Source organism: Homo sapiens, chromosome 19 (genome assembly GCF_000001405.40).
Source record: "Homo sapiens chromosome 19, GRCh38.p14 Primary Assembly".
Classification (NCBI taxonomy): domain Eukaryota; kingdom Metazoa; phylum Chordata; class Mammalia; order Primates; family Hominidae; genus Homo; species Homo sapiens.
In genome coordinates this window covers 55,207,626-55,224,961 of record NC_000019.10, presented here as the reverse complement: position 1 = coordinate 55,224,961, position 17,336 = coordinate 55,207,626, and the positions used below count along the sequence as shown (strand labels likewise).

Genomic DNA, 17,336 nt, shown 5'->3' with positions numbered 1-17,336 from the left:
CGTCTGAGGGAGGAGGGGCTGGGGTCTGGACTCCTGAGTCTGAGGGAGGAGGGCCTGGGGGCCCGAACTCCTGGGTCTGGGAGAGGAGGGGCTGGACTCCTGAGTCTGTGGGAGGAGGGGCTGGGGGCCTGGACTCTTGAGTCTGAGGGAGGAGGGGCTGGGCCCATAATCCCTGGTGTTTGGGGAACATTCTGGCTTTTGGTCCCTGGGCTCTGTGGGGTCGGCAGTCCAGAGCGACGGGACGCTGCTCTCCTGTCGGCATCCAGCAGCCCCAGCGTCGTGTCCCTCCTCCCTGATTCTGGTCCCCCGACGACCTTTCATCTGACTTCTCAGAGGTCTGCTTTCTCATGATCTGATTCGTGTTTCTCTAAAGCGGGACTCTCGGAGGTGCTGCGCACATCCCTCTCAGGCTCCTTCCAGCCCTGCCGGGACCCAGACCTGGGGCAAGGGGCAAAACGCCGGCTCCATCTTCCCTCCCAAGCCGGGGTGGCTGGTGGGGATGAGGCGGGGTGGGACTCAGCAGCCTTCATCCCGATCCTGCAGGTCAGACCACCGTGGGTCTGATTCCCCATCTGGGCCCTCCCCAGGCCCTCGGGACCACGACAGAGGCCACAGCAGCAGGTTAGTGACCCCATCAGCCTCCATCCTGCACGTCTAGGAAGGGCCGTGGGATTCCGTCTTCTGTTTGCCGCAGAGGCTTCTACCCATGTCAGCCGCCAAAGCAGACAGAATCGTGAGTGTGGAGGCTCGGACCTCCAGCTCCATCACCCTGAGCTGGGCAGCCCCAAGGGCCCAGACCGGCAGACTTCCATCTACTGGGTCCAGGGGCATGGCCAGCGGGAACACAAGCACGTCACACTGCTGGCTCGTGGTGGAGGGCTTCAGCCTGGGACCCTCTACACCACCTCTGTGTGGGCCAAGAAGAAAGGAGTAGGTGGCCCCAGGGACGTCCTGAGCATGTCTACAGGTAAGAGGGGCCACCTTTCCACTGCCCAGCAACATGTGCGTGTGTGTGCACGTGCACTTGTGTGTGCATGTGTGTTTGCGTGTGTGTGCGCGTGCGTGCGTGTGCACATTTGTAAAAAGTGCCAGGCTGTGCACTTTATTCTCATTAGAGCCACAAACAAACTTTATCAAATGACTCTCTCCTTTCCACATTCCCAAACTAGTCCCTGGCCTGGTCACACCGGCTCAGACCACCAGCTCCCTCACCCTGAGGGCCCCGCAGGCCCAGACTCCAAGACCTGCCCCTACTGGCTCTGCTGGGCCAGTGACTCCTCAGACATCAGGGTGCCTGTGGAGGGCCTGGCTGCAGGGACGCAGTACCCCAGCATGTGGGCCCAGAAGCATGAGGTCAACAGCCCCAGCCAGACGCTCACAGAGGCCACGGGCGAGGGGTGAGAGCACTCTGGGCTTGGGGAGTAGGAGGCCTCAGGAGGCCTCTGGCATCGGCCCCACTGATAGGGTGCATCCTTCCAGAGCAAGCAGGGCTGTGGGAAGGAGGGGATGCTTCCCTTTGCTCTGGAGGCCCAGGGACTATGGGGTGTGGTCTGTGAAGCAGGTTCACTGTGCACTGGTTACCAACTTGCCAGAGTGATGAGACAGAACGCCACACGCAAAAAGTTACATGAAGTGGGCTTGTTTCTCACAGATGGGCAGCAAGGGACAGCAGAATCCCAGGGTCCGTTGTAAGCTGGTCCCCCAAGGCTTAGGAAAGTGGCCTAGGGAGGATAGGGTCACAACTGTGTGTGCCTCACTTGTATGGCAGCTGAGGGACCCCAAAAAGTACCCAGCCCTGGGTTTTCTACTCTGGGGGAAACCTGAGTCACCGGGCTCAAGCATTGAAGGGCATCCTGTTTCTAGGGCAGGCAGGAATGGAGCCCAGGCCGCCTGGCCAGTCCCTCCATATCTCCGGATGTTGCATTCCCAGCACATTCTACTGTTACTCTTGAGAACTACAAGTAAGAGACAACTGGGTCTGTTTAAGGCCACTCAGATAACCTTCCTGCAGGAACCCTGACCCCCTTCCCTTCCTTTCCTTACCCGGCCAGGTCATGGATCTGAGGATACAGGCTCAGACCCTGAGTTCTGTTACACTAAGGTGTATATCCCCCCGGGGCCCAGACCCCCACACCTACACCTACTGGGTCCAGTGGGCAGGGACCACGGCCCCCAGTGGGACCAGAAGTGTGGCAGAGATGGGGTTGTGGTGGAGGCCCTGGAATCTGGGGCTTCATAAACCTTCATTGTGTGGGCTGAAAGGCGAGGTGGCTCATGCCTGAAATCCCTGCACTTTGGGAGGCTGAGGCGGGTGGATCACCTGAGGTCAGGAGCTCGAGACCAGCCTGGCCAATACGATGAAACCCTGTCTCTACCAAAAATACAAGAAAATTACCTGGGCGTGGTGGTGCATGCCTGTAATCCTAGCTACTCAGGAGGCTGAGGCAGGAGAATCACTTGAACCCGGGAGGTGGAGGTTGCAGTGAGTCAGGATCGCACCACTGTGCTCCAGCCTGGGCGACGAGCAAAATTCCATCTCAAAAAATAAATAGTCGGTCACGGTGGCTCACGCCTGTAATCCCAGCACTTTGGGAGGCCAAGGCAGGCAGATCATGAGGTCAGGAGTTCAAAACCAGCCTGGACAACATGGTGAAACCCTGTCTCTACTAAAAATACAAAAATCAGGCATGGTGGCACATGACTGTAATCCCAGCTACTCGGGAGCCTGAGGCAGGAGAATCGCTTGAATTCGGGAAGTGGAGGTTGCAGTGAGCCTAGATCGTGCCATTGCACTCTAGCCTGGGTGACAGAGTGAGACTCTGTCTCAAAATAAATAGCCTGGTGTGGTGGCTCACGCCTGTAATCCCAGCACTTTGGGAGGCCGAGGCAAGCAGATCACCTGAGGTTGGGAGTTCGAGACCAGCCTGACCAACAACATGGAGAAACCCCGTCTCTACTAAAAATACAAAACTAGCCGGGTGTGGTGGTGCATGCCTGTAGAATTGCTTGAACCCAGGAGCCGGAGGTTGTGGTGAGCTGAGATCGCACCATTGCACTCCAGCCTGGGCAACAAGAGCGAAACTCCATCTCAAAAATAAAATTAAAAAAAAATAAATTTTCTGCATCTTAGCAGGTTCTCCTGTCTCCCCTCCAGTTTGTACCTCCCTTCCCCAAGAGTGACCAGTCTCCTGATCTTTATCATCGTAAATTAGTGTAGTCTGTCCTTGAAACTTCTCTAAGTGGAATTATACAGTATGTAGTTATTTGATTCTGGCTTTCTTCACTCAACATTGTGGATGAAATGTGGATCCATGCTGGGTGTTTTTATTTTTATTGCTGTGTACTATTTATCGCATGAATGTATTACAACTTATTGTTTCATCCCTCCCTTCATGAACATTTTATGTTTCTAGTTTTGGGATACTATGAATGAAGCTACCATGAACATTTCTGTCCATGTCTTTTGGAGCACACAGGAAGTTTTTTCCCTCAGATGTCTGCCTAGCAGTGGAATCGCTGAGTGATGGTATACGTACCTTAGGCTTTCGTAGTTACTGACAAACCATTTCTCAAAGCAGCTTACCAGTTTACCATCCTGCCAGCAATGTGAGGAAGCTTCATTTGCCCCATATTCTTGCAGATAGTTGGTTGTTCGTCTTTTCCATTTTAGTTCTTCTGCTGCAGTGTTCTGGTGCTTCCTTGTGGTTTAATTTCCATAATGACTAATGAAGTTGAACACATTCCCATTTGTGTGTATGTGTGTGTGTTTGTGGCCATTTGGATATTCTTGGTAAAGTGTCTCTTCAAGTCCATTGCCCATTAAATGGGTCTTCTGCCTTCCTTAATTTGTAGAAAGTCTTTGAAAATATAAAGGGTACAGCTCTTTTGTCAGATGTTTGTGTCACCAAGTGTCATCATGGCCTAGTTTTAACTCAGGGCTCTGCTAAATCACATGGGATCACAGGTGTAGAAGGGTTTGCTTTCCGAGAGGACTGCAGAGATTTCCCCCACTCCCCTGCTCCAGCCTTCCCTTCTCTCATAGAAACAAATGTAGGGAATCTCTCTTTTCTCCTGCAGAGTCCAGGGTTGCTAGAGGACTGAGAAGGGCTGTGCCATGTTTTCTCCTCAGCGCCGAGAGAGACTGGGTTTTCCCTGAAAATGACAAACTTGTCAGGTGTGCCCCCAACAAACGCGTATTCAGCACCGAGGACAGCAATCCCAGGAGCTGCCAGAGCCTACAGGCCCAGAAATGGCTGCAAATGGGCGGAGCCATGCTGTCTGTCCACCTCTCCCTGTGTGATCTGGGGTCGAGCCTTCCTTGCTTTCTGCTGTGGTTTCACCCCTCAGCTTAGACTTTAACAATAGCAGAAGATGATCAGTAAATACGTAAAATGGAGACATGATCAAGGAGGGGAGAGGTGGGGACACGTGTGTGTGAGTTCTGGAAAGACTTTAGGACAGCTTCATCCCTCACCTGGATGCCCTGATGAGCATGGTAGGGAGGAGCCCCACGGTCTGCCTTCCTCACTATCCTACACTTCCTTATTCCAGGACACTGGCAAAAATGATGTGGCCCAGCATGCCCCCCAGAGCTGGCCTCTGTTGGATGCTTCCTGCCTGTGAGATGACAAAGAGCTGTGTGGTTCCTGGTCTTTCTCCCTCCTTGCTTCTGACCATGAACACAGAAAGGTCGCTAGCACCCTTGGATCTTGGAAGAGGGAAAGACAGGAACTCCACAGTCCTTTCCCCTGAGCTACCAAAGCATTCTTCCCCTGCCTCAAGTCAGCATCATTTGGGGAATGGAGCTGAGAAAATTTATTCTGGGTGTGGAAGAAGGAATCTACCAAACCCAATGCTCCCTGGGTTCTGAGCAGTGGGGGTGGGGTTGGGATTGTGCCATAGTTTTGAATCAATACTTTGAAAGCACTTTGGGGCCGGGTGCGGTGGCTCATGCCTGTAATCCCAGCACTTCAGGAGGCTGAGGTGGGCAGATAACAAGGTCAGGAGATCGAGACCATCCTGGCTAACACGGTGAAACCCCGTCTCTACTAAAAATACAAAAAATTAGCCAGGCATGGTGGCGGCTACTCGGGAGGCTGAGACAGGAGAATGGTGTGAACCCGGGAGGCAGAGCTTGCAGTGAGCCGAGATCACGCCACTGCACTCCAGCCTGGGCGACAGAGTGAGACTCTGTCTCAAAAAAAAAAAAAAAGAGAAAAAAGAAAAAAGAAAGCACTTTGGGAGGCCAAGACAGGTGGATCACTTGAGGTCAGGAGTTCCAGACCAGCCTGGCCCATATGGCGAAACCCCATCTCTACTGAAAATACAAAAATTAGCTGGGCATGGTGGTGGGCGCCAGTAATCCCAGCTACTCAGGAGGGTGAGGCAGGATAATCGCTTGAATCCGGGAGGTGGAGGTTGCAGTGAGCCAAGATCGTGCCATTGCACTGCAGCCTGGGTGACAGAGTGGGACTTTGTCTAAAACAAAACAAAAAACACTAACAGATGAATCTACCTGGGGAAGTATGTCTTTTTCAGGGGGCATAAAGCTCATCCCTGCTATTATGAACTGAATTTCATCCTCCTTCAAAAATTTGTAAGTTGGCGTCCCAACCTCCAGTACCTCAGAATGTGATTGTATTTGGAGACAGGGTCTTTGAAGAGGTGATTAAGATAAAATGAGGTCACTTTGAGATGCTGAGGCAGATGGATTGCTTGAGCCCAGGAGTTTGAAATCTTCCTGGGCAGCACGGTGAGAACCCCATCTCCCCAGATTTTTTTTTAATTAGCCAAGCTGGGCATGGTGGCTCACGGCTGTAATCCCAGCACTTTGAGACGCAGAGGCAGGTGGATCACTTGAGGTCAGGAGTTCAAGACCAGCCTGGCCAACATGGTGAAACCCTGTCTCTACTTAAAAATAAAAAAATTAGGCCAGGCATGGTGGCTCACGCCTGTAATCCCAGCACTTTGAGAGGCCGAGGCGGGTGGATCACCTGAGGTCAGGAGTTCAAGACCAGCCTGGCCAACATGGTGAAACCCCATCTCAACTAAAAATACAAAAAAATTAGGTGGGTGTGGTGGCAGGCACCTGTAATCCCAGCTACTCAGGAGGCTGAGGCAGGAGAATCTCTTGAATACGGGAGGCAGAGGTTGCAGTGAGCTGAGATCATGCCATTGCACTCCAGCCTGGGCGACGAGCAAAACTCTGTCTCAAAAAAAAAAAAAAAATAGCCGGGTATGGTGGTGGGCACCTGTAATCCCACCTACTCAGGAGGCTGAGGCAGGAGAATCGCTTGAACCTGGTAGGCAGAGGTTGCAGTGAGCCGAGATCGCGGGACTGCACTCCAGCCTTGGCAACAGAGCAAGACTCGGTCTAAAATAAATAAATAAATATATATATACATTATATATATATACACATTATATATATATACATTATATATATATACACATTATATATATATACATTATATATATACACATTATATATATATACATTATATATATACACATTATATATATATACATTATATATATACACATTATATATATATACATTATATATACACACATATATATACATTATATATATATACACATATATATACATTTTATATATATATACATTATATATATATATATATATATATATATATATATATATATATATATATATATATGTAAGCCAGGCATGGTGATGTGCCACTGTAGTCCCAGCTACTCAGGAGGCTGAGGTGGGAGGATCACTTGAGCCCAGGATGTAGAGGCTGCAGTGAGCTGTGTTCGTACCACTGCACTCCAGCCTGGGAGACAGAGTGAGATGCTGTCTCAAAAAAAAAAAAAAAAAAGTCACACTAAGGTGGGCCATAATCCAACCTGACTGGTGTCCTTATCAGAAGAGGAGGTTAGGACACAGACACATGGAGGACAAGGGAGAACACGGCCATTTGCAAGCCAAGGAGAAAGAGGCCTCAGGAGGAACCAACCCTGCCCACATTTTCATCTTGGACCTCCAGCCTCCAGAACGGTGGGAAAACAAATCTCTGCTGTTTGGGTCACCTAGTCTATGCTCTTTGTTGTAGTAGCCCTAGCAAACGAATATACCAGTTTTTATGGAAAACCACACAGCGCCCAGATTCCTGGGTTCCGAACAATGGGGGATGGAATTTTCTCATAGTTTTTGTTTTGTTTTGTTTTGTTTTTGTTTTTTCTTTTTTTGAGACGGAGTCTCGCTCTGTCGCCCAGGCTGGAGTGCAGTGGCACGATCTTGACTCACCGCAGCCTCCACCTCCGGGTTCAAGCTATTCTCCTGCCTCAGCCTCCCGAGTAGCTGGGATTACAGGAGCCTGCCACCACGCCTGGCTAATTTTTGTCTTTTTAGTAGAGACGGGATTTTCAGAACCATATTGGCCGCACTGGTCTCGAATTCCTGACCTAAAGTGATCCACCCGCCTCGGCCTCCCAAAGTGCTGGGATTACAGGCGTGAGCCACCGCGCCCCGCCCGAAGTTATTTACTCAAGACTCAAAAAAGTTATCGATGATCCCATCTGGAGGAAATATGTTTTTTCCATGGGACGCTAAGGACATCCCGCCTTCCCCATCCCCCGCAGTCACTTTTCTGTTTATTACATCAGCCTGTGTTCCCACCACGAGTGCTGCTCTGGGGTGCAGGGCGCTTTGGCCCTGGGTTGGTAAGATTCGCTAAAGACGGTGGCGTGTTCTCTCCCGAGTCTGCTTTGTGGGGTTGGTGGGGCTTTTCCATCGGGAGCCGCACCAGCCACCCTGGCACCGCACTTCCAGAACCGCGTCAGCACCAAGGACAGCGCCAGGGAGCCTTGGCTGCAGGGACGGAGCCCCAGATGTGGCTGAGAAGGGGAAGAGGAAGGACCGTCGTGCCCTGGAGCCTGCGACCGCCACGCCCTTGTTCCAGCCTCAGCCTTCAACCCCCTACACAGACGCCCAGTGAGCACTACGTGCCGCACGCAGGACTGAGGGGTGGAGAGTGGGAGGCCATGGGTGTCAACGTAGGGTCCCTGGAGGTATTGATTCAGAGGGCAGTAGCCCCCGGGCAGGTCCTGGCTGGCCCCACCCAGGACCTCAGTCGCTGACCTCAGGACACGGTCCAGGCTCTTTCTATTCACGTCTGTGCGTGGCATCCTCCACGATACAAGCGAAAATCACCATTCCCCGCCTGCCTGGCGTTGGCAGCCAACCCCCAGGAGGCTCCCGGCCCTGGCTTCTCATTTCTCACCTCAGTGCGAGCATGGATCTAGGAGAACCCCAGCTCTCTTACAAGTTGATGAGTCAGGCCCCTGTCACTTCCTGGATCTTTCAATCCTGGCTGCCCGCAAGGCCAGGAAGAGCGAAAACAAGGGCTGGATTCAGCGGAAACACGGCAACACAGGACACAGCCACAGCGTGAGGAGCGAGCAAGCTGGAAAACCTGGATGGGGGTCTGGACTGGTTCACCTGCAATGAGATCAATGATCTAATCGCGGCAGGCGTGGTGGCTCATGCTTGTAATCCCAGCAGTTTGGGAGGCTGACGCGGGTGGATCACATGAAGTCAGGAGTTCGAGAACAGCGTAGTCAACATGGCAAAACCTCGTCTCTACTAAAAATACAAAAATTAGCCAGGCGTGGTGGCCAAGGCAGGAGAATCGCTTGAACCCAGGAGGCAGAGGTTGCAGTGAGCCGAGACGGTGCCACTGCACTCCAGCCTGGGTGACAGAATGAGATTCCATTTAAAAGAAAAAAAAAAATCTAATCCTGGATGAGAGTCCAGGGAAAGTGAGAGTGGAGAAAGCTTACATGAAAACGCAGACCAGATCCCTGAGTGTGGACCTGGAAAACGTGACACACGTCATCAGATTCAGATGAAGGGATATTGCCTGAAGTTTCATCAGCCTTCGGTGTGGAGTTGGCCTGATGTCCCCCAAGATGAATAGACTTGTCTCTACCCAAAGAAGCTTCTTCCACTCTGATAAAAGAAAGGAAAAATAGGCAAAGCCACAGACAATGTGATGAGTATTATAATAAGAGATTTGTTTAGTTTGGCTCCAAACATAGGAGGGAGTGGCCAACTGTATCTGGGGTCAACCAGAAGTAGAAAGAGAAGTAGGCCCTGGCTGGTGGAGAAATATTTTACCAGGCAGAGGGAACAGTGTGTGCAAAGGCCCTGAGGTTTGAATCCACCTGGAGTGCTAAGAAAAACATGCACGGACATCTGTGTAGCTGGAGTAAAGATAGGAGAAGAGGCTGGTGAGGTGGGCAGAGAGCAAATCTGAAAGAACTCCAATCTCAAGGTAAAGACATCATTCATTCATTCATTCCTTCATTCATTCAACAAATCACTGAGAAATTAATAAACACCTGTAAGTGTCCATTCCAGTGAGGATAAATTGCTATCCAGGAGTGAGGGGGAACAGCGTGATGTCTTATGGGTTGATAAGATGACCGAGGTCCCAGACAGTCTAAAGGGAATCACACTGACCTTCTGTCACTGTTGGAGTAAAGAACACTCTTCATTCAGGCTAACTTCTATAGGCAAAACGCCTTTTCCAGTTCATTAGCTGAATATCAGGTGCCAGGGGCTGTGCTGATTTGCTGAAGGAGACCTTACCCTGAGAAGACCAGCCACTTCCGAGGGTATCACCATTTTTTTTTTTTTTTTTTTGAGACGGAGTCTCGCTCTGTCTCCGAGGCTGGAGTGCAATGGCGCCATCTCTGCTCACTGCAAGCTCTGCCTCCCGGGTTCACGCCATTCTCCTGCCTCAGCCTCCCAAGTACCTGGGACTACAGGTGCCCACCACCACGCCCGGCTAATTTTTTGTATTTTTAGTAGAGACGGGGTTTCACCGTGGTCTTGATCTCCTGACCTCGTGATCCGCCCTCCTTGGCCTCCCAAAGTGCTGGGATCACAGCCGTGAGCCACTGAGCCCGGCCAGTATCACCATTTCTTACTTCTGTCTTCCAAGATCCATAAGCTCCTGCATAGATTAATCATGTGAATCAAAGGATAATGTTTAGGAATCACCCTCCCATATCCCACCCCTGTGTTTTCCAAGGCTTGATGCTGGCGCTGATCTCTGTGATTCCCTGGGTTGACTGTTTGGGAAGGATGATACTATGGTTTGGATCTGTGTCCCCACCAAATCTCATGTTGAAATGGAATCCCCAGTGTTGGAGGCCGGACTTGGTGGGAGGTGTTAGGATCTTGGGGATGGACCCCTCATGAATGGTTTAGTACCATCCCCATGGTGATGAGTGAGCTCACAAGAGATCTGGGTATTTTACAGTACGTGGCAAGGCCGGGCGCGGTGGCTCACACCTGTAATCTCAGCACTTTGGGAGGCCGAGGTGCATTGGATCGCCTGAGGTCAGGAGTTTGAGACCAGCCCGGACAACATGGCAAAACCCTATCTCTACTAAAAATACAAAAACTAGCTGGGAGTTGAACCCAGGAGGTGAAGGTTGCAGTGAGCCAAAATGGTGTCACTGCACTCCAGCCTGGGTGACAGAGGGAAACTCCATCTCAAAAATTTAATAATAATAAAATAAAAAAATAGAAGTGTGTGGCACCTCCCGTCCTCTCTCTCTTGCTCCTGCTTTCGACATGTTATGTGCCTGCTCCCTCTTCACCTTCCGCCATGAGTGGAAAAGCTCCCTGAGGCCTTCCCAGAAGCTGAGCAGATGCCAGCACCACGCTTCCTGTACAACCTGCAGAGCCGCGAGCCAATTAAAACTCTTTTCTTTATAAATTACCCAGTCTCAGGTATTTCTTTATAGCAATGAAAGACTGGCCCAATATAGATGGGGGAATTTCTAGGGGCTTCCATTTCTTCTTCCCACCATCAAAGCTTTCACACTACAGATCAGGGAAGCCAAAGCATTGTGTCTGCCATTTTATGAGAATGTCGATTTCAACTTCACTCTCAAGGCCTGAGGAAGGAGCCACACAGGGTCTTTAGAGTCCCGTTGACCCACTGTGTGATGGTCTTTAGGTGAACCCTCCGTTCGTTACCTGACAGCCCCAAGCACACCAGTCAGACCATGATTCACGGTGACCTGTGTGTGCCTCCAAATTAGGATTGATTCAGAGTCAGAGTCCAGTAGCCTTTTCTCTTTCTCTAATCCCCAGCGACCATGGATATTGGCCTTTAGGAGAAACTGGGAGGAAGGTTTACAGTATGTACTTTGACTAGTATCGGTGAGTCCTCCCTGAGGGAAAAGCATCCGCTACATGGAAGGGGTTCCAAGACTGAGAACTGGCTCAGGACTGGTAACAGGTGTGAGGCTTTAGGGGTGGACGTCGCTGGTGCTTCACCCAGATCTCCTTTGCAGGCACTGAGCACTCATTCTTAAGCAGTGTTGGCTGCTTGCAGATGCCACATTCTCAAGAGACTTGGTCTTGGCTGGGCGCAGTGGCTCACACCTGTAATCCCAGTACTTTGGGATGCCAAGGCAGGCGGATCACACGAGGTCAGGAGTTCGAGACCAGCCTGGCCAACATGGTGAAACCCCGTCTCTACTAAAAGTACAAAAATTGACCAGGCACAGTGGCTCACGCCTGTAATCCCAGCACTTTGGGAGGCCAAGGCAGGCGGATCACGACGTCACGAGATCGAGACCATCCTGGCTAACATGGTGAAACACCATCTCTACCAAAAAATATAAAAAATTAGCTGGGCATGTTGGCGGGCACCTGTAGTCCCAGCTACTTCGGAGGCTGAGGCGGGAGAATGGCGTGAACCCGGGAGGCAGAGCTTACAGTGAGCTGAGATCGAGCCACTGCACTCCAGCCTGGGCAACAGAGCCAGACTCTGTCTCAAACAAACAAACAAACAACAACAACAACAACAAAAAGTAGCTGGGTGTGATGGCAGGCGCCTGTAATCCCAGCTACTCGGGAGGCTGAGGCAGGAGAATCCTTTAACCCGGGAGGTGGAGGTTGCAGTGAGGCAAGATGGTGCCACTGCACTTCAGCCTGGGTGACAGAGTGAGAGCGAGATTTCATCTGAAAACAAAACAAAACAAAAAAAACAAAAAACTTGCTCTTGACCTGAGAGGAACGTGTTTTACTAGGAAAGTCATGAAACTCTCACCCCTGGAGAAGCCCATAGACAAAGATTAGAGGTTAAAAGTTCAGATCCTGTCTCTGTGATGGGATCCCTCTGAAGTGATAGCCTCACTTGGCTCCTTCCTCTGCCCCATACTGCTTTCATCACTCTCTGTCTTCTGAAAGCAAACCCTCAAACAGTTCATGAGCATCTGAATCCCTGCCTCAGGCTCTGCTTCTGGGAAACCTGAGCCCAGGCCCTCTGCTGCCCCACTGTGGTGACTCTGGTTCCTGCTCACCAGACCTAGAGATGGTATCATTACATACACCAAGCAACGCTCTCTTGGTGCTTCTCATCACACAGGTAAGAGGAATTGAAAAGAACTCAGGTGATGAGGGTCGTGCTAATGGGACTCTCATTAGTGGCTCCGTGGAAATTTCTGTTCTTAAGGGGAAAAGAGGAGCACGGCCGAGTCTCTCCTGAGGTTGCTGCTAAGATGTTGGCTGGGGCTGCATTCATCTGAAGGAGGGACTGGAGTTGGAGGGCCCGAGTCCGAGGTCCTACAGGTTTTGTTTTTGGTTTGCCTTCCCCATACACAGGCAGCTGCTCCAGGAGGACTTTGGAAGCTGGGGAATGTGGGTCATTTTGTGGAGTGGTTGATTTTTTTATTGTTTCTTTTTGTTTTTTGAGATGGAGTATCCCTCTGTCACCCAGGCTAGAGTGCAGTGGTGCGATCTCGGCTCACTGCAGTGTCCCCTCCTGGGTTCAAGCGATTCTCCTGCCTCAGCCTCCTGAGTAGCTGTGATTACAGGCATGCACCACCATGCCCGGCTAATTTTTGTATTTTTAGTACAGATGGCCACCATGTTGGCCAGGCTGGTCTTGAACTCCTGACCTCCTGCCTGAGGTCATCCACCTGCCTCGGGCTCCCATAGTGCTGGGATTACAGGCGTGAGCCACCATGCCCGGCCGAGGAGTTGGGTTTTGAAGAGAAAGCAAGTAGGGTGTGGTAGGACGGTGGGTGTGGAGTCAATGTAAGTGATGCATTTTTTTATAGACAGGGAGGGTGAGCATGTTTATAAGTTGGGGATCTAGATGGGAGGGAAGAGAGATAGAGGGAAGAGACAGTGAGGAGGAGGAGGAGGACCAGGAGAGAGAGAGAGACATCAAAAAGTATAGGGGAGACAGCTGGGTGTGGTGGCTCATGCCTATAATCCTAGAACTTTGGGAGGCCAAGGTAGGAGGATCACTTGAGTCTAGGAGTTCGAGACCAGCCTGGGCAACAAAGCAAGACCCTGTCTCAATAAAAAAAAAATTTTTTTTAAGATATAGACGAGAAACAGAGAAAGGTTAAAACAGAAACCCAAGCAAGTGATTGGCATGAATTACATCCGGTGCCCACTGAAAGGAAACTTCTCGCAACCAAACCTTTGTGTATACAGATGGGGAAACTGAGGCTCTCAGAGACAGAGAAACTGACTTCTCAAAGTGGTGGTGTGAGAACTTATTTATTTATTTGTTAATTTTGAGACAGAGTCTCCCTCTGTCACCCCAGCTGGAGTGCAGTGGTGCAATCACAGCTCACTGCAGCCTCCACCTCTTGGGCTCAACTGATCTTCCCTCTTCAGCCTCCTGAGTAGCTGGGACCACAGGTGTGCACCACCATGCCTGGCTAATTTACTTCTACTTTTTATAGAGACGGGATCTCCCTATGTTGCCCAGGCTGGTCTTGAACTCCTGGGCTCAAGGAATCCTCTCGTCTCAGCCTCCCAAAGTGCTGGGATTATAGGCGTGAGTAACCATGCTCAGCTGTTTTGTTTGCTTTTTTTTTTTTTTTTTTTTTCTTTGAGAAAGAGTCTTGCTCTGTCACCCAGGCTGGAGTGCAGTGGCGCTATCTTGACTCACTGCAAGCTCCGCCTCCCAGGTTCACACCATTCTCCTGCCTCAGCCTCCTGAGTAGCTGGGAGTACAGGTGCCTGCCACCACAGCCAGCTAATTTTTGCATTTTAGTAGAGATGGGGTTTCACCATCTTAGCCAGGCTGGTCTCGAACTCCTGATCTCAGGTGATCTGCCCACCTCGGCCTCCCAAATTGCTGGGATTACAGGTGTGAGCCACCGCGCCTGGCCATTGTTTTGCTTTCTGAGACAGGGGCTCACTCTGTCACCCAGGCTGGAGTGCAGTGGCACAATCGCAGCTTACTGCAGCCTTGACTTCCCAGTCTCAGGTGATCCTCCCACCTCAGCCTCCCGGTAGCTGGGACTACAGGCGTGCACTACCATGCCTGGGTAATTTTTTCTCTCTTTTTGTTTTTCTTTGTAAAGATGGGGTTTTGTATATTGCCCGGGCTGGTCTCAAACTCCTGGGCTCAAGTGATCCTCCCACTTCAGCCTCCTGAGTAGCTGGGCACACACCAATATGCCCGGCTGGGGTTTCTATTCTTCATTTCCGCACTATATGTGAGATGAAGGCAGTCCACGTGTGCACATAGTAAGTCAACAAAAACACCTTGAAAAGCCCTGGGTGTCAGGCCCCTTCTGAGCACAGGTGGCCTAGGGATGAACTAAAAATAAACATGACTAATATTTATCAACTGTTTAAAATGGGCCAGGCATTGTTCCAAGACTTTCCACGTAGTAACTCATCTATTTCTCTTAGCATATTTACAAGGGTGCCCATTCTTTAGAGATGAGGAATCTGAGTCACTGTGGATTTAAGTCATTTGCTCAGGGTCACAGATGGATATGCAAATTAGAGAGTCTGGGGTGTGGAAGACAGTGCACAGGGTCCTGACCAGGCTAGAAAGGCCCCAGGCCCGGCATGGGTCATTTCCAAGCTGAATCCTAATGGAGCAGTGGGTAGGAGACTGTTAGGGGGAAAGTAGGCAGGTGCATCTGGTGGGGGAGACAGTCTAGGCAAAGGCCAAGAGGCAGGAGCCCGCTGGGCTCATTTTGTGAGAGCTGCAGGGGCTTGTGGGAGACGGAGAGGGGAAAGGCGTCAGAGGCTGAATGGAAGAGCGTGCTCCAGGGACGAGGGGCATGAGGTCTAAGCCCCAGGCTGCTCTTGATGTGTGATCACCCACCAGGGAGGCGAGGGAGTCAGCTGGCCTTTCTCTCAGCACCCCCTGCTCTCATCCTCTGCCCCACGTCCCGCATCCGTGCAGCAGTGGGGCGCGGCACCCGGTACCTGGGGTGCAGAGGGAGATTTCGGGGGACAAAGTGGAGTGGGCTGGGGGCTGGAGAAAGGATGGGAGGCATCTCCAGTGTCAGAGCTAGAGGCAGCGGTGAGGGAGGAAGGTGAGGGCCAGCGGGGCAGGGTTGGGAGCTGGGTTCCACTTCCTCCTCCTCCCCTTCCCGCCCTGGCCTCTGGCTTCACCAATGATCTGGTAAAGGGGAAATTCTTGAGTGTAAAGTCCAGCAGGTGGAAGGACTAGGCCTGGGACTCCTGGGTCCCCGGCAGTGTCTGGAGGCATGGCTGGGGCTGGCGGGGGCCTCGGGGTCTGGGGGAACCTGGTGCTGCTGGTAAGTGCTCCCCGCCCAGAGCGGGCTCCCAAGGCAGGGACTCCCAGGTCTGAGGGAGAAGGAGCTGGGTGCCTGCACCTCGATCTTGAGGAAGTAGGTGCTGAAGATCCCCTGGAGAAGGAAGAGGGCTTCAGGCTTGGCAGAGACTGTAGGAGAGTCTTACACCTGGGCTCTTAGATACTGTCGTGTCTGCTGCGGGGGACACCAGCTTCACCCGGGCCCTTAGACATTGTCGTGTCTGTTGTGGGGGACACCAGCTTCACCCGGGCCCTTAGACACTGTCGTGTCTGCTGCGGGGGACACTGGCTTCAGGCAACACACAGCTGTGCTCACGGACAGGAAGCAGCCCCTCCTCCCTCAAACCAAGAGTCCAGACCCCAGCCCCTCCTCCCTCAGACCCAGGAGTCCAGGCCCCCAGCCCCTCCTCCCTCAGACCCAGGAGTCCAGACCCCAGCCCCTCCTCCCTCAGACCCGGGAGTCCAGGCCCCCAGCCCTTCCTCCCTCAAACCAAGAGTCCAGGCCCCCAACCCCTCCTCCCTCAGACTCAGGAGTCCAGACCCCCAGCCCCTCTTCCCTCAGACTCAGGGGTCCAGACCCCCAGTCCCTCCTCCTTCAGGCCCAGGAGTCCAGACCCCCAGCCCCTCCTCCCTCAGACCCAGGAGTCCAGACCCCAGCCCCTCCTCCCTCAGACTCAGGAGTCCAGGCCCCCAGCCCCTCCTCCCTCAGACCCAGGAGTCCAGACCCCAGCCCCTCCTCCCTCAGACCCGGGAGTCCAGGCCCCCAGCCCTTCCTCCCTCAAACCAAGAGTCCAGGCCCCCAACCCCTCCTCCCTCAGACTCAGGAGTCCAGACCCCCAGCCCCTCTTCCCTCAGACTCAGGGGTCCAGACCCCCAGTCCCTCCTCCTTCAGGCCCAGGAGTCCAGACCCCCAGCCCCTCCTCCCTCAGACCCAGGAGTCCAGACCCCAGCCCCTCCTCCCTCAGACTCAGGAGTCCAGGCCCCCAACCTCTCCTCCCTCAAACCAGAGGTCGAGACCCCCAGCCCCTCCTCCCTCAGACCCAGGAGTCCAGACCCCCAGCCCCTCCTCCCTCAGACCCAGGAATCCAGACCCCCAGCCCCTCCTCCCTCAGACCCAGGAGTCCAGACCCCAGCCCCTCCTCCCTCAGACTCAGGAGTCCAGGCCCCCAACCTCTCCTCCCTCAAACCAGAGGTCGAGACCCCCAGCCCCTCCTCCCTCAGACCCAGGCCCCCAGGCCCCCAGGCCCTCCTCCCTCAGACCCAGGAGTCCAGACCCCAGCCCCTCCTCCCTCAGACTCAGGAGTCCAGGCCCCCAACCTCTCCTCCCTCAAACCAGAGGTCGAGACCCCCAGCCCCTCCTCCCTCAGACCCAGGAGTCCAGACCCCCAGCCCCTCCTCCCTCAGACCCAGGAATCCAGACCCCCAGCCCCTACTCCCTCAGACCCAGGAGTCCAGACCCCAGCCCCTCCTCCCTCAGACTCAGGAGTCCAGGCCCCCAACCTCTCCTCCCTCAAACCAGAGGTCGAGACCCCCAGCCCCTCCTCCCTCAGACCCAGGAATCCAGACCCCCAGCCCCTCCTCCCTCAGACTCAGGAGTCCAGGCCCCCAACCTCTCCTCCCTCAAACCAGAGGTCGAGACCCCCAGCCCCTCCTCCCTCAGACCCAGGAGTCCAGACCCCAGCCCCTCCTCCCTCAGACTCAGGAGTCCAGGCCCCCAACCTCTCCTCCCTCAAACCAGAG

General features: G+C 52.8%; 1 protein-coding gene and 1 long non-coding RNA gene across 8 annotated transcripts in view, besides 1 other annotated feature; one reads left to right on the top strand and one right to left on the bottom strand.

The window, feature by feature from the left end:
* Positions 6,827 to 7,013: a silencer, noted in NCBI's record as "fragment chr19:55729317-55729503 (GRCh37/hg19 assembly coordinates)". NCBI's record gives its function as "represses an EF-1alpha promoter that drives an FKBP-Casp9 reporter gene in an ReSE screen in K562 erythroleukemia cells {active_cell/tissue: K562}" and the evidence as "EXISTENCE:reporter gene assay evidence [ECO:0000049][PMID:32094911]".
* LOC124904771 (uncharacterized) lies at positions 7,537 to 9,373 on the bottom strand. Its single transcript, XR_007067346.1, has 2 exons — positions 8,253 to 9,373; positions 7,537 to 7,866 (listed from the first exon to the last, which is right to left on the bottom strand). It is a non-coding gene; the product is annotated as an uncharacterized LOC124904771 (long non-coding RNA).
* Positions 9,374 to 15,460: 6,087 nt separating this feature from the next.
* Positions 15,461 to 17,336, top strand: part of PTPRH (protein tyrosine phosphatase receptor type H) — a 28,255-nt gene continuing 26,379 nt past the window's right edge. For all 7 annotated transcript variants that reach the window (NM_001161440.3, XM_047439150.1, XM_047439148.1 and 4 more), the window contains exon 1: positions 15,461 to 15,579. In NM_001161440.3, the coding sequence (NP_001154912.2) occupies positions 15,529 to 15,579 (51 nt within the window). In that variant the 5' untranslated portion in view covers positions 15,461 to 15,528. The remainder of the gene's footprint in view (positions 15,580 to 17,336) is intronic.